This window comes from Homo sapiens, chromosome 18 (assembly GCF_000001405.40).
Source record: "Homo sapiens chromosome 18, GRCh38.p14 Primary Assembly".
NCBI lineage: Eukaryota > Metazoa > Chordata > Mammalia > Primates > Hominidae > Homo > Homo sapiens.
Genome location: NC_000018.10, coordinates 60,625,433 through 60,646,785, shown reverse-complemented (window position 1 = coordinate 60,646,785; position 21,353 = coordinate 60,625,433). Strand labels below are relative to the sequence as shown.

Here is a 21,353-nt window from a genome sequence, read left to right as displayed (position 1 = left end):
ACACGAGAAGTGTTCATGTAATGTTAGCTACGGTTTGTGTATTTTTGGATAATTACAAAAGGGTGTCACTACAGTTGATCTTTAGGGACATTAAAATGATGTTGCGGAAAAAAATGAGTTAAATTAGGAGCTTGATACAAGCTATGGTCACTTCCAAATAAATATGCAAGGATCAAAAGGCAAATATGTCAGCCCAGCTATTCCCTTCCCTCTCTCTGCTCCAAAATATACAGATTTATACATCGTAATTGTTTAAAAAAGAGAAACATGTTATATATTTTATTCTTGACAGAGATGAAATACTACAAGAGGATACTGAAACTGATTTCAATACAGGAAGTCTTTATTCAGTTAATTCAAAGACATAAAATACATGTTAAGGTATTAAATGTCCACAATGGAATTTCTCTTCACAAGAGGAGAAATTTTTTGTCTCTTATGTATCCTAAGCACACTAAGAACGTACCTAACATTTAACAGATGCTAAGTATTTAAACAAACTGTGTGTGTGTACGTGTGTATAAGCTGGATTACCTTTCATCTTACCTTTCATCTTACATAGCATAGAATAAAAATTAAAAGTTCTTATTCATAACATTTTTATAACAGTTTCAATATTCCTTTCTTATTATCCTTAGGAATAGAATTAAGTTGATGTTTACATGGGATATCCAAGTTCACATTGAAGTATCATAAATCCTTCCCAAGCCTTTCAATTTCATCAATAAGATAGTCAACATCTTTCTGTCTTGAGGCAGGATTAGAAAAAAACCATTCGCAAAATATTTACTTTGTCTCCACATGGCTGGTAGCTTATCATGATTGTGCCTTCCATCATCATCTGTGCTTTAATCTTTGGAGCAATCTGTGTGTAAGTGTAAATATTATTATAAAGAAGTTTTACAAGTAACTATTCTTCCTTATTCCAGATGGCTACATAACTATCATTAGCTTCAAGTAAATTGTAGGCAATTTAAGACCATCAGGGATAATTTTTAAGAAGTAGCTTAGTACAAAAAAGCAGCAAATTCTATATTCATATTGCAGCTCTCATTACCCCATGATTTACAATTACCAAGCATAAAGTAATATAAATTTGCTAGACTGCATTAAAGAAAGGCATGTGCCATTTCCTTGTATTTATATGGCGATTCAAATAGACGTACCTGGGAAAGAGATAAAATGAAATAGAGAATGGAAAAATAGTATCATGTTTTAGTATTATTTGCATTATTTGAATCATTCATTATTGTATATCTTGAGTTTTTCTACAAGGTCACTATTTTGCAGCAAATATAGTTTCTTTGTAAATTTCACAGAGACAAGCTCTGTTTAAGTATCTTGTTCAGCTCCTAAAATGGCATCATGCAGGTGGCGTTAGAGCACATTAAAGCAACTTTGGCTACTGTTACAGGGCAAAGTGACACGAACACTCAGAAAAGCCAAAGATGGCGTTCTATAACTACTCAATCTGCACTTATTCATGGTCTATTTCTGCAAACAATTTACCTTTAAATGCTACAAATGCTATCCATATTTAACTTTCCTATAAGACTGTCTGATGGCAGTGCAGAAGCAAATATACATTTATATATATATATTTACGCATATGTAAATATATACACACAAACAATTATATATATATACACACACAATACAATCTCATATATATACACACACACACACACACATACAATTCAATTCTTTCATTCAATAGTCAGGATTTTTATTTCGTGTCCTTCTCTAATTAATATTTTATTCAATATAACAATACTATATTGGGTATTTTTTATTATCTGCAATACTGTGGGAAATTGTTTAATAGTCTTGGCTTGCCCTCCAGTCAGGAACATGTGTAGAACTCTAAGAGGTTGAGTGGTTTGGGTGTACCTCTAGAAGCCTTCTTGTTTCTGACTAACTCAGTTGGTGGTAGCTACCCTCATGGAAGGTGACATTTATATGCTTAGAAAAAAAAAATAAGAGCTTCACTTAGTCCTTGCCTCAAACCATAACATACTTAAATAAGACTACTGTGAAAAGCAAGAAGGAAAACAGAAAACTACATTTTCTGTTACAAGCCCAGTGAAATTTACTAATGATGATAGAAAAAGTTGAAGGCCTTAAACATTAATGTCAGACAATTTTTGTTCAACTTACTTTAGGGCAACTCAAATTATGTAAAATACGTGGTTGAACTATCAGCATAATTCAGAAAGGGGTGGTAATATTATAAAATAAATATTATGATACATGATTAAGTTTAGGCAAAAGCTCATATTAAATATATGGATAGGGCCAGGCATGGTGGCTCATGCCCATAATCCCAGCGGTTTGGGAGGCCAAGGCGGGTGGATCACAAGGTCAGGAGATTGAGACCATCCTGGCTAACACAGTGAAACCCAGTCTCTACTAAAAGATACAAAAAATTAGCCAGGCATGTTGGTGGGTGCCTGTAGTCCCAGCTACTCATGAGGCTGAGGCAGGAGAATGGAGTGAACCCGGGAGGTGGAGGTTGCAGTGAGCCGAGATCACGCCACTGCACTCCAGCCTCGGCGACAGAGAGAGACTTTCTCAAAAAATAATAAATAAAAATAAATATATGGATAAATGGCATATAGTGGTGATAATGTCCACTTTAATTATGAAGATAAAGATGAAATATTCTCATTGTATGACATTCATTTTAATTCTTTTCAGTATTGTTAATGGAACTATTATAAAATATCTCTCAGATTCTTGCTCAGATAATTTATGATAAATATTTTAAAATTGATAACATTTATTTAAGTATCTCTTCTATTTTTCTTTGGAATTGTAGTTATTTATATTTTTTATTCTCTCCCACTAACTTTTCAAGCCAACTGAGGACAAGGATTCTGTCTATTCATTTTTTAACTTTCAACTCCTACTGGTATACCTGGGAAATATTAACTAATGAATAAATTAACCAAAGCGTATGAATTTCAGCTGATTGCATATTAGGCATTGAAATATTTTTTCAATATGTAACCAATGAATGGATTAATTTCAAAATGACTAATGGGTTGAGTTCTCAGTGAGCCCCATATAATTATTAAACCAGTAGCTTGGAATCATATGACCACCAATCCACTAACCAAACTAAATAGACCCATTAAAAGTCAATATTAAAATTAGAATTAAAAATACCACACACTAAAAATTAAAAAGAAAAAAAAACCTTTACCTTTCGGAGTTCTTGATCTCTTTCAAAACCTTTTGGAATATGTTTAAGCCTTGCTGGGAAATACCAGAAGCAGACATTAGTGAACTCAGGCTAAATCAAAGAAAAATATTTTACAAGTATCCATAAAAACTCCACTTAATTCTTTAGTGACTTCATTATTTCAGAAGTACTTTAATTTATCTCACTTAATGTTTATGTATTTAAATAAAGGTTTCTTTCTGTGCTTAGTACATGTCAGGGCCTGGATTCAGAGATAAAAGAAGTAGCTACTTTCCTCAGAGAGGGCCTAGTCTGGCACGGGATCTGCTTGTTTCTCCAATAAACTCTTGAGTCATAATTCTTGAGGATTTTCATATCTATGTTATCATCTTCCCCATATTTTGGTTTACAAATTCCTTCAAACTTCCATTCATCCATGCCATGACCATGACGTCAACTATTTTAAACAAATAATGGTAGCATCAGTTTTGTATTTGAGAAAGATCACTCAAGTTGAAAGATAATTGATTCGAGGGAAGTATGATTGAAGATAGGAGAATATTAGTAAATAGAATGTTCTCATAATTCAGGAGAGAATGAAAAGGACTTCACTGAAGGCATAGCTGTAGTGTAGATAGGAGTGTTTCCATTTCCAAAAGCTTCAAGGGAAAGAATTGATCAGCATGATGACGAATGTCAGGCTTTCAAGATGAATTTCAAGGTTTCTGGCTTAGATGACTGAGTGTCATTCACATAGACAAAGGATGGAAGGGAACTTAAGTCAGCTATCAAAGCTTATTTCAGAGACGAAGTTAAACTGTCAGATTGTGCGTAGTATTAAAAACAAAGAAAAGTTTAGTTTTCACTTAAAAGCAGAGCAATAAGCAAATATTAAGATAATAACAGAGAGAGACGGAGACAATTTAGAAGATAAACAAGGCACCTTTGTTTCTTAATAGTTACTCTTATTAGAATGATTTAATGAGTGCCAGTAGAAGGTTTATTGAGCCTTAAAGATTGATATACAATGTAATGCTAGCAAAATTCTCAAATCTTTCATTAATATCAGCTTAGTGACTTGATAACAATGTACCAAAGATTATTATAATTTAAAGCCTACCTTCTCTTATATTATCTACTGTCTGGAAATGCAATTGCCTACTCTAAGATACAAAAAAAAAAAAAACTAAGAACAATTAAATTACATCCTATTTAGTGTCAGAGATGCCAGAGACGCAGTTAAAAGCAAACAGTTTCATTGTTTTAAAAATGTAAAAATTGAAGGTACTCATTAACTTAGTCTTTTGGACTCTTTGCTTATAAGAAAAGGAACTTAAATTAAAAATGTTTTAAAACCTAACTTATATGAGCTTAGGTAAAATAAAATGCTTACAATAATTAAGTATACCTATAAGGTTCTCCCAACACATGAGATAAGTAACAGATTCAGATAAAAATACTCAGAAAAGAAAATAGAGATCCATTGAATTATCTCAAAAATTACATAAATAAAAAGCTAAGAGTCCTCCTTACCTCTGCATCAAACACAAGCTTAAAGTTATCTTTTTTCTTTAAAACCTTATAGAAGTATTTTGCAAGTTCCATATATTTGTTGATTTGTTCCTCAAAGCCAAGGGTTCCCTGTAAATTTAAAATAAATCAAATCAAAGGCTCAATTTAAGTAAGATACTTTAAATTACCTTCAAGATGTTCCTCAGTTTTATTTAATGTGCTTTAGTATCTGTGAAACTCAGACTCATATATTCAACTGCCTGTTCAAATCTCCACTTTGATAACTAATAATATCTTAAATGACATGTTCAAAACTGAAATCCTAATGTTTCTATATGCAACTTGTTTCTACCAGTCTTCTCAATCTCAAAACATGTAAATTCTATTTTCAAGTTCCTGAGGCCCAAAAGATTGCAGTTGTTCTCACCCAGGACGCTCCTCTTTTTCTCACACTCCACACCTAATATTGTGGCAAATTTCCCTGGGCTTACCTTTTGATATGGTTTGGCTGTTTCCCCACCCAAATCTCATCTTGAATTGTAGCTCCCATAATCCCCATGTGTCATGGAAAGGACCCAGTAGGAGGTAACTGAATCATGGGGGTGGTTACCCCCATGCTGTTCTCATGATAGTGAGCTCTCACGAGATCTGATGGTTTCCTAAGGGGCTTTTCCCCCCTTCACTTGGCACTTCTCCTTGCTACCGCCATGTGAAGAAGGACATATTTGCTTCCCCTTCCACCATGATTGTACGTTTCATGGGCCTCCCCTGCCATGCTGAACTGTGAGTCAGTTAAACCTCTTTCCTTTATAAATTACCCAGTCCTGGGTATGTTTTTATTAGCACCATAAGAATGGGCAAATATACCTTCAAAATCTAATTAGAATTTGATATTTCTTAATATATTCACTGTCACTATGTCAGCCCAGTCACTCTCTCCTTCATTATTGAAACTGCTTCCTAACTGATCTTTCTGCTTCTGCCTAGGCATCGATTGCCCATGTTGAGGCCATGCCATTCACATTTACTTTAGGCTTATGTAGTGTGGAGACTTTCCAGTCCTATGAGGTGGTACTTCAGTGTATTCTCAGTAATTAAACCATCTTTGTGACCAAGGTTTACTTTATGGGTGTACAAGCTGTGTAGTCGCACAGGGCTCCCGTACTCAAAAGGGTTTCATATTAGTTGAATGATGTGCTGTCACAGTCCTGAAATTCTTTAAAGTTTTATTTTGGGCTTGTGTTTTGTAAGCAAAGTCCAATGGGACAATGAAGCATGCACATAAGCTAAGGATATACATGCAACATAAATGTCTACCATGTTTTAACACCTCATTTATACATAGCATTTGAAATGCACCATAAGCATAGTATTCCAGTGGACTCATGATACACAGGAGCCCAGTCACACTCGATGTCAGTACAATGTAAGCGTGTTGCATCTACAACATACAATACTGTAAGTGAGGATGCTGGGAGTCCCAAAAGGCCACACTTTCTGTTTAAACTAGGACTTGTTTCCAATGCAGGAAGAAAGCTGTAATGTTCTAGGAAACACTAATAGTCAAGGAACCCTTTTATATCCATTCTTACTTGTGTTACTTCTCTGTATTAACCATACTCACTCCACTCTGGCCACATAGATCTCCTGTTGTGCATTATGCAAAGTAGGCAGGCTCTGTCTCAAAGTTTTTAAATTGTGTTTCCTTTTAGCTATGCTTCTCCTAAATGCAGCATGACCTCCTCTTCACTTTTTTGAGATTTTTATTCAAATATCACCTTTTATTGGTGATGATCCTTCTATTTAACATTATAAATACTCATCATCCCTAGCACTCTGTATTCTTTTTTAATGTCTTATTTTTCTCCCTAGGAAATAGGGACATATATACATTAATTTATCTATTTATTTAAATGATTAAACTATGTATATATGTACAAATCAAAATATAAGTTTTGATTGTAAGAACGTATGATCAAACCTGGCAGCTCACAATTGCAAACAAACATTGGCTTGGCAAAGGCACTGTTAGTCACTGAAATGCCTATGAATAGGTAGGATTAAATGTCAATGAACTAATTTCTTGAGACAACCACTTTATCATTTGACATTATGCCAGGTATTTTTTTTCCTGAGGGCAATTAGTTCAGGGGAAACTACTGGTAGTTAAAAATAAATCAAAACAAACTTATAGAAAAGTTAATTGATATTATTGAAAAAGAATATTCTGACTCTTAATTCTGAAGAAATGAGGCTAAGAACCACTGAAGTCGTTGCCATAGAGCATATCACTCTCCGGAATTTTTTTCTGTAGAATCTTTTGGTAACATTCATGCATGTTGAAATGACAATAAAAATATTATGCCATGTGTCTGTCTATATAGTAAATGCATTTTTAAGTTTCTTGAAAAAATGTCTACAAAGATTAAATAGCAAAGACAATGGCAACTTTAGTCTAAACTTTAAGAAATTCTGTTAGACCAGGTCCTCCCAAAAGCAGATGCCAAGATGGGATTAAAAATCCTCAAGAATTGTATTGGTGGAAGTCCCTGTGTGAAAGACAGAGGAGAGAGAGCCGATTAGACTGGGAGAGGCATCAGACAGTGAAGAAGTCTGGCTCTAAGTTAAAGGGAGGTTAGGGAGCAGCATCCATGACTACCATAAAGTCTGAGGAAGATTTAGAAAGGCCACAGGTATCTTTATGCCAAGTCAGCTTTCAGAAGACTCTCCTGTCTCCTAGGAATGAGGACTGCCTTGGAATCCTTGCCAATTCAGTCACTGCCTGGAACAACCTTTCGGAAGCACAGACTCAAAGTAAATGCAATGGTGGATTTTAGAAGAGCAGATGAGGCTCTTGGACAATTAAGCTTTCTGTAGCATTCTGATGGCCAGATTCATTTTATGATTCCAGGACCTGTCCAATTCATGTAACAAATTCATCTCAAAGTAGGCTTTTGCATTATATTTATTTTTGCATACGTAAGTAATGTTTGTGGAATCTTATATGTCTATTTTTTCTCTGATTTTTATAATGTCACAGTACTTTATATAATTAATTACATTTATAAGAAATCTAAATTTTATTAATCATGGCTCCTCTTGCAAAAAACAAAGTATTCATTGTGTAATTAAAGCAAATGATAACAAAATAGAATTTTTTATTTATATTTCTAGATTTTCTCTTAATGCCCATTATTTTGGCAAGAGTACTAATGGTGGCTCACATAAAAATATTTAAATATTTAATAATTATAAATTATGATAACAAACTTTCAAGTCAACTCCTTTCTTTCAAGCTCAACACAGATTTTTACCTGAACCTGATTTGCACCATGTAGGAATGTTACTTTTGAGCAAAAAAACCTTCCACTATACTGAGTTTTTGTCACCTATTCCTGAAATAGCCCTGCATCTGTAATATCTACAGATGCATCATTTTTATGCCATATTCTCCGCATGCAAACAAAAAAAGATGAACCTGATTTCTTATCACTATTCTGTGTGCACTTTTTGCCATTCTTATAGTGCTATGAATTGTATCAAGACAGCCAACAAGAACTTGTGGAAAGAAACGTACGTGTTGGCTATAGATGAGTAGCCAGGTCTCATCTAAAACTCTATTGCTTAGAGTTAGTTCTCTCCATCCATCAGTAAGCTACTGTTTCTGTATCTACTTAATAGACATAATAGTACTGAAACTGCCTTTGCAAAAATTATAACTGTGAGAAAAATTTAACCTGACTCCATTTTGCTTCTAACCTCCAAGCTGCCCTAGTTCCTTCCTCAGTGTAGGCCAAGCTAACTATGGGATAAAGTTTATAGTTTAACTTCAAAACAAAAATGATAACAGTCCCTTCCCAAAACTAACCTTGTCCTTGCTCAAGAACTGAATCAACCTTTCTAAAACTAACAAATTAGTCACAAGGTTAGAATTATAGTTTAGGAGTCATATAGACAGAGGACACAAGATTTTTAGCCTCTGCAATTACTCCTAAAGATCACATCACTATTGTAAACCCTAAGATTTGTGCTTCAGGTATTTTTTAGACCCTGCATTCTGATGGACCAGCTAGGATCACCTGTGCTGATAAACCATACCAAGAAACCAGCTCATCTGGTCTTGGGACCCCCCCACCCAGGAAATGACTCAGCACAAGAATACAGCTTTGATCTCCTGTGACATCATCCCTGACTTGACCAATCAACTTTCCCCATTCTCTAGCCCTCTGCCTACCAAATTATACTTGAAAACCCCTAGCTTCAGAGTTTTCAGGGAGGCTGTTTTGAGAAATAAACTTCCATCCTTCCACTTTGCTGGCCCCGCAATTATTAAACTCTTTCTCTACTGCAATACCACTGTCTGAGTGCATTGGTTTTATCTGTGAAGCAAGCAAGAAAGAAGACCCTGCTGGGCAATTACAATACGTATCCAACAGAACTATTGGAAAACAAAAGCGAGATAACACACGTAAAGGTCCTAGTGCAATAGATGTTCAATAAGTGCTAGGTCCATTTTGGTGAGTTAATGTATTAATGTTTTCAAACCTTATTACCAAAAGTATTCAAAGTGAGTTACCAGTATATATATATATATATATATATATATATATATATATATATATACACACACACACACACACACACACACACACACACACACATACACACATATACATACACATATATATATATATTACAGTGTTTTTTAGAAATACATATATCTGAGCAAGATGATTATAAATTTACAAAAAAGTAGTCAATGAATAAAGTTAGAAGAGAAAATGAGTGCCAAGGTATTGCACACCAACTGAAAAAGGACCAATAATTTGCCTCTGTGATTCATTTTACAGACCGTATTATTCTATTTGCGTTTTGTACTAAGAATTTCATATCCACTTAAACTAATTGTTCTGGATACTGACACCTTGATACTGACAACAGAGAAAAATACCTTGTGATTCACAAAGAGGATAGTGTATACTGGACAAAGTCCTCAGCACATGGCTATACATAATTTCACACTTTCTTTAGGGCTTTTCTTTGTTATGCCACTTGATATGGGACAACCCATGAAAGAAAACCTAAAAGTAATTCAGTCAATATAAGAAAAATACTTCATGTTCCTGCATGATTAGGGCTCTCTGAGCAAAATTACTGACAACCTGGGCTAAAGGAATAGTGAATAATGAACAAGCCTTGGAACTTAAAAATAGAAGATGTCTCCTTTTTTTCCATACCAATTTGTTTTTCACATTCTGTTACTGCTGATCCCCTTTGTGGTGGAGGCATATGCTGTCTGTTCCCACTGAAGGGGTAATTAAACCTTTGCTATCTCCCCAGGAGTCAAATATTTTCATTCTGTCTTAGAATGAGGTAGAGACCTTTCCCTCCTCCCCCGAAAGAGTATTTGTTTGTTTGAATTCCAGAGTACAAGATTTCATAGGCCCCACCTCCATGTACCAGCTCCTACATAAGATTCCAGTTTCACAATTTTAGGGTTTCCTGCAGGATAGTATAAATCTCCTTTGTACCTGTAGGCTAAGATGCCCTCATGGTGGTGTCCCAAGGGGAAAATAGAGTGTGAGTGTCTATGCTAAGATATTCTGTAAGTAAATAATTTATCTTTCTCTGATCTAAAAAGCTTCATGTTTATTTTAAGGCTAAAATTTTCAAAAGTATGGATATTAAAAATACATCAGTTAAGTCAATTTTGTAAAAGGCCAAACTGTGACCCAGGTGACAGCTCTCTAAAATAGAGTAGAATGGAATTTATTAGTTTCATACATTACAAGGGTTTTTCCCCCCTAAAATTTGTTTTATTACATTTTGTATATATGGATGTGTGTTAGTACATTAACATAAAATGTATTTCTTACTGTGGGTTGTTTTAAAAAGTTCAAATGTCACCCTTTTATTGAATACACTAATAGATGAACTATATGATCCTTTAGATAATTGTATAAATAGCACTTCTTTTAAAAAATATTTTGGTAAGTGTTGAACATTTGTTCAAGGTTGAACCTCAAGACAAGTATTTAGGTATATACACTGTTATTTAAGCTAAGTCAAGCTGCATGCTTTGATTAGCAGCTAAACTATTAAATAGGAGAACTGGTGACCTCTTACAAAGTTGAAAAACTTTATAAAAATATTTACAAAATACAATCTGTACAGAAGTGGGTTGAGAAACATTGGGATTATCAGTGTCTGAAATTTACACAAGGCTGCATGGGTGCAAAAATTTGAGGTTTAAAGTCTTTTAAGTTTACCCAAAATTCCAAATTGTCCATTTAAAAAATCTTCAGGAAAAGAACTTACAGAATGCATATCTTAGAATAGTAAAAATTATCTATGAAACTTCAAAGTTTATATAATTGCTAAGTGTAATCCTGTGTTACTGATCATATAGATATCTGTATCAGAACGTTGGCTACATAATAGGCTCTTGATAGATGATTTCTATGAAAAGCATTGTCTTCGCTTTTGGAATACCAAATTTCTAACAAAAGAAATGACTTCAAATTAAACAGTAGGGCTAATAATATATCAAAGATGCTTTTAGTTCATGTCAAACCTTTGATAACAGTGTATATACCTAAATACTTGTCTTGAGGTTCAACCTTGAACAAATGTTCAACACTTATCAAAATATTTTTTAAAAGAAGTTATATTTATACAATTATCTAAAGGATCATATAGTTCATCTATTAGTGTATGCAATAAAAGGGTGACATTTGAACTTCTTGAAACAACCCACAGTAAGAAATACATTTTATGTTAATGTAATAACACGCATCCATATAAACAAAATGTAATAAAACAAAACAGAACCTAATGTCCATCTTTCTATAGAAGACTAGGAAGGGGGTGAAACACACACATACATATATACAAAACGTAATAAAACAAAACAGAACCTAATGTCCATCTTTCTATAGAAGACTAGGAAGGGGGTGAAACACACACATACATATATACAAAATGTAATAAAACAAAATAAAACAGAACCTAATGTCCATCTTTCTATAGAGGACTAGGAAGGGGGTGAAAGAAATAGCTTTATAAAATCTTGTCGGTTATTTCAGTTAAACATAAATAATGGGCAAGAGGAGGGTGCAGAACACATAATTTTTGTTGTATAATATTTGGAGAAACTGTATCTTCAGACTCTGACCCTGAAGTAGATTGATCTTTCAGGCAATAAATAAGTATTCACATCTGAGATTCAATATTGACTTCAGGTAGCTTGACCCATTATCACTTTCTATTAATAAAGGTGAAAAACAGGCCTAAAAAGGTACTAACACGTTTTTATGTTTCTAACATTTTTTTATTCCTGAAATTTCATAGAGTACATGGTAATGGTGGGACTGCCAAATATTCTTGTCACCTCAGTTAGAATTTTGACCTGAGAAACCACTTGCAATTTGCAGTTAGATAGGTGGCAGTTTTCTTGAGAGGTATTTAGGAAAATAATGGAACTATAATTTGGGATTCATAGAGTTCTAAAAATTAATGGAATCATCTAAATATTGGATGCAAATAACTAGGACCTAAATAACCACAGATTGAATAAAGGTAAACACACTGGCAATGGAAGTAGCTTATATTTGGAACAGTTCTTAAAAATTCAAGAGCCAAAAAATCTTCTGCAGAATTTAAATTATATTCCTTTACTTAGTCATTTATATTTTCCTTGTGACCAAAATCATAAAATGTGAGATGAGTTAAAAGGTCAGTCTGTGACTTTGGCCATTTTCATATGACTCATATCATATGACAATGACCATAATCATAGATAATTATGATTGAATTCTTGATTCCACCATAAGCTTTTACATAATAGGTGTGAGACATGAATATGCAATGACTGTCTTCATATTGATCCTATAATTGTAAGAAAATAATTATGCTGGACATTTGACCACATTCTGATGATTTTCATAAATGTCTCCTTTCATATTCTTTTCTCTATTGTCCTTTAAAAATAACATTACATAATAAATTTTAATACCATTAAAATCATTGTTAGTAATTTTGACTCAGTATTTACTGTCACCTCTTGTCTCTGGTAGATTTGGTGCAGTTTCTGAAAGGATTTCCTGTTTAAATTCTGGGTTGTTTTCTCTTAGCATTTACGAATGAAAACCATGCATACTTTCATTATGTTGATTTGTTTTTTTCAGCTTTTAAAGCTAAAATTTATAAAACTTGTGAAGCTAAACTGTGTCATAAAAAAGTTTCAAGATGCTCCAAGCTCAATAATATAAAAAATTGTATTTTATCTTAATTTAAATTAACTTGTAACAATGATAACTCTTGGATTATATGGTGAATTATAGCAATATAATTAAGTTTATATGTAATATTTTATTTAAACTGTATTATATCTGTATAAAGAGGTAGGTACAACGTAATTGCACAAATGAGGAGCCTGAATCTGAAAGAATTTAAATTACTTGTTTAGGTTTTTTGCATATTACAATATTCTTGTGATATTTCTCAAATTTCCCCTGCTATTAGAGGTAATGAAGAGTCAAAGACACCTAAGCTTACTTATTTTAAATATAACATCATACTATTATGTTCATTAGGACTAGAGAATATTAAATTTGAGTCTATGTTTATACTTAGTCAAAGTTACATATGTTGAAAGTGTTAATAGAAAAAGGTAGAGTTGTGTAAATCGGTTTAAGTACCAATGGAAGGTCACTAATTGACTGTCTCCTAGCCTTATTAAATCAATATTCTGGCTACTCCGTTTTTGTATTGGGCAGGTGAATACAGATGGGGAAAAGCAACTTGGAGACTTGGTGTTAATGTAAAGTTACAACCACAAATCTCAACTAGACCTTCAGCACCTCTCCACAGTCTGACTAGAGTTTCCTGGCCAATCCTCCATTGCATAGATAATTTTTCATTCGACTCACTAAATCTCCAGTTTCCCTTCACTCCTCACAATTTCAGTAGATGATCTTGTTTCTTGCTCTTTAACAAAATAGGAAAACTCAGCAAATAACATTGTAGAACCAAGTCTACCATTCTGCCTATTTGTATACAGTCTTTCCTCTAGTTATTAGGTAGGTGCAAAAGTAACTGTGGTTTCTGCCATTTTTAATGGTAAAAAACAATTAAAAATAATAGCAAAAACTGAAATTTCTTTTGCACCAACATAATACAACAGATGGATTGCACCTGACTCTAGATAGGATAAGCCCATCTAATTGTAAACTACGTCACTTGCTCACCTTTTGCCTACAACAAAGTACCCATTCCACTTTTTCACTTTCTTCTTGCATAATGATATTTTCCATCTATTAGACTATGACAAAAAGTATATTTGTATGCTATAACAAAGCTCATCTATAACAACAAAAACAAAAATTCCTTTGGATGTGAATTTCCCTCCAGCTACCACTGTGTCTCTCTCGCCCTTTATAGTCAATCTCCTCAAAGCACTTTTCTACATTTGCTCTTTTCATTTCCTTACTTTCTATTCTCACACAACTGTTCTTACTGAACCACAATGAAGTATTTATTTTTCAATTTCCAGTTCTCATTTTAGTCAAGCAATACACAGAGTTTGATACAGTATCATTCTTTGTTTTCTGAAATTCTTTCTTCCCATGGATTTGGTGACACCTCCCCATCTTTTCTTTTCTTGATGGAGTTTCGCTCTATTGCCAGGCTGGAGTGCAGTGGCACGATCTTGGCTCACTGCAACCTCTGCCTTCAGGTTTCAAGCGATTCTCCTGCTTCAGCCTCCCAAATTGCTGGGATTACAGGCTTGCGCCACCACACCCAGCTAATTTTTGTATTTTTAGTAGAGATGGGGTTTCACCATGTTGGCCAGGATGGTCTCAATCTCTTGACCTCAGGTGATCTGCCTGCCTTGGCCTCCCAAAGTGCTGGGATTACAGGCATAAGCCACGGCGCCTGACTGACACCTCACCTTCTTAGTTATCCTTCTATATACTTGGCTACACTTCAGAGTGTCCCTGGTTGGATCTTTTCTGCTTCTCCCTGATTTCCATGTTTTAAGTTTCATTTCCCTGCCTTCTCTTGTTTCTACCTACAGTCAGTCCCATGACTTCAAATACTATCTACATGTAAACACTTTTTAAATGTATATTATCTTCCACAACTTCCAAATTGAACCTCAATTCACTATTCAAAATCTTCACTTTATTATCTGTCAGTCTTAACTTAAAAAAATGATATTTCAATGATAAAAATCAGTTCTTTCCATCACATTCTTAAATTCAGGATATAACTCTTTTCTCCTAGTTGCTCAGATCAAAATGGTTGGAATGTTCTTTCACTCCCTCCTTCTTATACCCTACATCCAATCCATTAGTAAGTCCTATTTATTTTACCTTAGAACTACTCTAGGATCCAACTACTTTTCACTAGTTTCACTGCTACCACTTTAGGCCAATCCACTGTCATGTCTTGCCCAGACCACTGGAAGGACCTCCTAACTAATCATATTGTTTCTCTTCTCTTCCCTGCCGTGCATTTATCATAAGAAGCCAAAACAATTCCCTTTAAAACATACATCTGATTCTGTCTCTCCTTGGATCAAAACCATTTACTGATTTTACGTAACACTGAAAACAATATCCACAGTCCTTGTTTTTAATGCATGACCTGTCATCACTCTATATTCTCTAAGCTCCCTTAGTTTTTTTAGATATCATTTCTAGCTAACTTATTGATTATTGTCTATAGCACCCAAATCCTCCACAACCCTCCCAAATGTCACTGACATGAGAAAAGGAAATTTGGTTTCTTTGCTCACTGCATTCGCCAGCACCTAGACTGCCGCCTGGTTAAATAGTGCTCAACAAATCATGAGTAAACTGTTAAACTTCATCAATATAGATGGTGCATTGCTACAGAGTAATTTAAATGTGAATGAGTCAGACTGGTCCTATAGTCTCCAGTTTCATTATTCCCTCTTTTCTTAACAACCTGTGCATTTCGGACACTTACACATCTGTTTGGCGCCTGACGACATTGAGAGGTTCTCATCTTAGGAACACACCTGAGTTTCATATATTCTCTGCTATCTCGTGGTTGTAAAATGTCAAAATCCCAAATAAATAATGAAAATCATTCGATTGATTAGTTAAATTTGCTCTTGTTAAAAACCACATTATTATAGCCCTAAAACTTTAAAATTTTGGTGTTTTATTCCAAATACGCATATTAATATGACCCTTACCCCCTTTCTTTTCTACTCCAATAAAAAGTAGAATGAGTAAAAGATGACAAATTCCTACCTTTGCTTTCCACATTAACCACTGCTTGAAGATATCAACATGTCGGCCACACTGAATAGTTTTATCCGCCGTGTCAAAGTCAACATTGTAGAGTTTACCTGACTGGAAAAGATATTCAGCTTGCATCTGATTACATGCATCTAGAAGGCCCTAAAAAAGGAAAAACATATCTAACATGTAAGTCATATACATTTCAATAAGAAACCACAATTATTTATTTCACTTAACTATTTCCACTTTGAATGCAAATTTAAGTAGAATTTTGCATATTTAATGTAGAAATATATCCTTTTTTGAAAATAAATGACCATATTCAGTTTTTTGGATTTATCTAGAATATGGTACAATTTGGTGAATACTTGTCTATTTTTTAAAACTTTTCTTAAATGCCTTGAAGTCTTGCTGCTCTTTTGAAATTATGTGACTGTCATTTAATAATGTTAATGAGAACTGACTGCCTAGTCCACTTTAACTAAACTATCCTGTGAACCAACGATGTAGATGCCAAATAAACAGCTCTGATGACCATAGTAGATGAAGAATAAAATAATCCATACATTTAATCCATTCGTTTAATTTTGTCTTTTCTAGCCTTTTGTCTCATATGAAAAATGTGGAAAACATTCCTCCTCAGTGTTAAAGACTTCAAGAAGCTTTCCTTTGGAAGATTAAGAAATAATCACTAGAAAAGGACATGTTACCCATCATTGAGACAGAAATGTTTTCTCAGTATGTATGTTGCTTCAGCACATCAAAACCTAAATTTATGTGCATTGATGGGGTATAATTTAAATGTTAATTAAGCAGAACTATTTGTACAAGAGGTAAATAACATTATATGTATTTATGTGTTTGCTATATGCTTTCCATTTCACATTACATCATTTGATCCTCATGGAAAACTGATGGTGTAGGTACTATAATGACAACATTTTTATAGATTGAAGAAACTGAGAATATTAACATGTTAAGTAATTTTCAAGAACATATATCTATACAATGATGAATTTGGGAGCTGAAAAAAGGGCAGTTTGACTTGAGGTTTGTGGAAACACAACATCCTAAGGAAGATAACTCACACTCTGTTTCAGGCTAGGCTTGTGGATCTATAGGAAGGACCACAATGTGACGGTCAGTGTTGAAGTATTTCAGGGAAATAGAATAGAAATTATAACTCAAAAATGAAAATAGTTTATGAATCTGTATTTTGGGTGTCCTATTTACACATGTAAATATTTTCTTCTTAGGCTCTTTTGAACCCCCTTTTTAATCTTTTGTTAGAGCAGGCCTAGAGACTATTGTAAACACTTTAAAACAGTATCATCAAGATGAGTTTCTGCACAGCAAAAGAAACTACCATCAGAGTCAGCAGGCAACCTACAGAATGGGAGAAAATTTTTGCAATCTACTCAACTGACAAAGGGCTAATATCCAGAATCTACAATGAACTCAAACAAATTTACAAGAAAAAAAACAAACAACCCCATCAAAAAGTGGGCGAAGGATATGAACAAACACTTCTCAAAAGAAGACATGTATGCAGCCAAAAGACACATGAAAAAATGCTCATCATCACAGGTCATCAGAGAAATGCAAATCAAAACCACAATGAGATACCATCTCACACCAGTTAGAATGGCGATCATTAAAAAGTCAAGAAACAACCGGTGCTGGAGAGGATGTGGAGAAATAGGAACATTTTTACACTGTTGGTGGGACTGTAAACTAGTTCAATCATTGTGGAAGTCAGTGTGGCGATTCCTCAGGGATCTAGAACTAGAAATACCATTTGACCCAGCCATCCCATTACTGGGTATATACCCAAAGGATTATAAATCATGCTGCTATAAAGACACATGCACACGTATGTTTATTTCGGCACTATTCACAATAGCAAAGACTTGGAACCAGCCCAAATGTCCAACAATGATAGACTGGATTAAGAAAATGTGGCACATATACACCATGGAATACTATGCAGCCATAAAAAATGATGAGTTCATGTCCTTTGTAGGGACATGGATGAAGCTGGAAACCATCATTCTCAGCAAACTATGGCAAGGACAAAAAACCAAACATCACATGTTCTCACTCATAGGTGGGAATTGAACAATGAGAACACATGGACACAGGAAAGGGGACATCACACACCAGGGCCTGTTGTGGGGTGGGAGGAGGAGGGAGGGATAGCATTAGGAGATATACCTAATGTAAATGAAGAGTTAATGGGTGCAGCACACCAACATGGCACATGTATACATATGTAACAAACCTGCACGTTGTGCACATGTACTGTAGAACGTAAAGTATAAAAAAAAAAAAAGATGAGCTTTATCTGGTGTGATGATTGAGCTACACTTAGTCATTAAGCAGCATATATTTATAGCACTTGTCATACATGGTGCTGAGACGGTGGATTTGTGGTGAGAAAAAGGGTAGAGAGACTCTGCCTTCATAGAACTTATAGTCTGAGTGGCAGGAGGCTGGGTAGGTAAGGGCGGGGCTGGGCACTAAACACAATGTCACAGATATGAGTGTCAAATTATACCCATGATAAATGTTATGAAAGAGTTTTCATGGTGCTATAGAATATTCTGGCCTAAGGGTCAAAGATTCCATGTAGCCTGGAAGTCAAGGAAGGTTTCTGAGTAAAAAAACATTTTTGAATTCAGCAGTTTAGCAAGAAATATGCTGGGGGAGAGAGCTGTGGGAGTGAAAGTTGAGTCAGACCATGACAGGTGGAAGGAGAAAGATGTACTGAGATCATAATGGAGACAGCTGCACTACATCTTTTTGGAACTAAAAGGAAGCCAATGGATATGAATAAAACAATAGGAAACACAAGAGGAAGTAAGAGTTCAGAGAAAGCCACAGACTACACCTCCTGGGCCTTTGTGCAATGTCAAGGATTTCAATCCCCATCTTAGCGACAAAGAGAAGCTACTTAATGAGTTTATATTTTGCATTATGAAAAGCTTCTTCTGAATAAATGAAATTGATGTGGCTAGCATTTTGTTTGAAAAACATATGGTATTTTCATTCCCTTGAGTGTAAAAATGAAGAATATTTAAAATCAGTTTAAATATATTTTATGTACAATTATACAAAAATGTATATATTCACTTCCTTATAGTCAATTCCTTGTCAGCATTGAAAAATATGTTCATTAAATATTGATATACTCAATTTGTTCTACTCATTAAGGCATGAATTAAAATTGTCTATCTGCAGCCCTGGACATTCAAATGGTTAATAGATAAGAATAGAACGTTCCTCTTAATTCAAGGCTGCACCAAGATAGACTTGTTTTCCAGAAATGACCTTAAACATAATAAATGCTTATTGGTTTGGGAATTCTGCTGTACTTCCATTGACCATCCATCTATCTTTAGGAAAAGGTAAAGTACTAGACAAAATATAAAAAACAATTTATTTGAAAACTCATGATAGGTACTTATGTAGAATAAAATGTATTACTTCAACATACTCATGGTGGGCTAAGAAATCAGAGAAGACTGCAGAAAATTTGTATTTGAGCCATAAAAAGAAAGGTATCTGAAATCTGAAAGTTAAATAGAGACCTGTTAGCAAGGTGGGGGTTGGAGACAAATTTGAAAACTTCTCAAATGAAAAAAAAATACGGCCAAACAATAATGTCAAGGTTCTGGACACATACCAATGCTGAAGAAGGATCAGTCTGCTAACCTGCAGGCTTTGAGCATCTGCCATTTTGTGGATGGGATATTGCTGCCATGCAGCCAACTTAGCAGGAGCTGAAGCAGAGATAATGTTAACAGTTCCAGTCAGCAGAGCTGATAATGCACTAGGTATGAGAAAATGAATAAAGATTCCCTCAGAACTAGGGAAGATGAAGTGAGCATTAAGTACTCAAAGAGTAGGCAGGAAGGCTATAGTAGGAAGACAGATTATTTTTATACCCAAAACCTCTGGATTGCTTGCAAGTAAGAGAAAATAGAAAATGATGTCCCCAAAGGTAGAAATGAAAGTTAGGTAAAATGTGTTTGCAACTTGACAACTCAATAAAGAATATGCAAACTTTATAATTGTATTTCTACTTGGAGGAGATAATGAGCTCAAGTCCTTGTATACTGTCACATTTACTACGAAGGGAAATAAAATAAATACACATGTAAAAAGAAAATAATGTCATACCATACATACATTTATGCTTTTTTTTTCTTTTTTTTTTTTTTTTTGAGATGAAGTCTCACCCTGTTGCCCAGGCTGGAGTGCAGTGGCATTATCTTGGCTCACTGCAACCCCCACCTCCCAGGTTCAAGCGATTCTCCTGCCTCAGCCTCCTGAGTAGTTGAGACTGCAGGCACACACCACCACACTGGGCTAATTTTTTTGTATTTTTAGTAGACATGGGTTTTCACCATATTGGCCAGGCTGGTCTCAAACTCCTGACCTCATAATCCACCCTCCTCAGCCTCTCAAAGTGCTGGGATTACAGGTGTGAGCTACCGCACCTGGCCACATTTATGTTTTTTTTGTGCCAAAAATATATTACAGTTACTCATTGTCATCCACATGAAAATATGCCCTATTATTGGCTCTATACTCTAAGATTACAAATTGGCCAGTGGGCCAAATTTTATTCCTAAGAGATATTTTGCTTGGTGGCTTTTTAAAATTATTATTTCATTTTATTTGTAAATTGACAAAATTTTATTTATTGTGTGTACAACTTGATGTTTTGGTATATATGTATGAAGTATTGCATATATGCATGTTGTACACACACTAGGCATTGTGGAATGACTAAATACAGTTAATTAACATGCATTTCCTACATAGGCATTGTGGAATGTGTATATATATGATATATATATGCATTGTGGAATGACTATATCTAGTTTATTAACATATGCATTGCCTCATATAGTTTTCACTTTTGTGGTGAGATCATGTAACATCCACTCTTTTAACAATTTTCAAGAATACAATATGTTGTTATTAACTGTAGTCACCAGGTCCTACAATAGATCTCCTGAACTTATTCCTCTTATCTAACTGACATTTTGTATCCTTTGATCAACTTCCCCTTGAACTCCCTCCCCCAACTGCTTCAGCCCCTGGTAGACACCATTCTGCCCTCTAGTTCTGTAAGATCAATGTTTTTAGATTTTACTTATGAGTGAGATCATGAGGTATTTGTCCTTTTTGTGTCTTATTTTGCTTATTTTACTTAACTTATTTGGCTTATTTTACTTAACATAACGACTTCCAGATTCATCCATGTGGTCACAAATGGTAGGATTTCCTTTTTTTTTAAATGGACAAATAGTATTCCCTTGAGTATATACACCTCATTTTCTTTATCCATTCATCCATGAATGGACACTTAG

The 21,353-nt window shown here is 34.5% G+C and overlaps 2 long non-coding RNA genes across 3 annotated transcripts; one reads left to right on the top strand and one right to left on the bottom strand.

The window, feature by feature from the left end:
* Positions 1-322: 322 nt before the first annotated feature.
* LOC105372156 (uncharacterized) lies at positions 323-8,888 on the bottom strand. Of its 2 annotated transcripts, none has more exons than XR_935556.3 (4): positions 8,565-8,888; positions 4,718-4,825; positions 3,206-3,641; positions 323-865 (listed from the first exon to the last, which is right to left on the bottom strand). It is a non-coding gene; the product is annotated as an uncharacterized LOC105372156 (long non-coding RNA). The 2 variants fall into 2 exon arrangements; XR_935555.2 differs by lacking the exon at positions 8,565-8,888 and adding an exon at positions 6,321-6,676.
* A 6,939-nt stretch (positions 8,889-15,827) lies between these two features.
* Positions 15,828-19,335, top strand: LOC124904313 (uncharacterized). The gene is made up of 2 exons (XR_007066393.1): positions 15,828-16,158; positions 16,573-19,335. It is a non-coding gene; the product is annotated as an uncharacterized LOC124904313 (long non-coding RNA).
* The last annotated feature ends 2,018 nt before the right edge of the window (positions 19,336-21,353 follow it).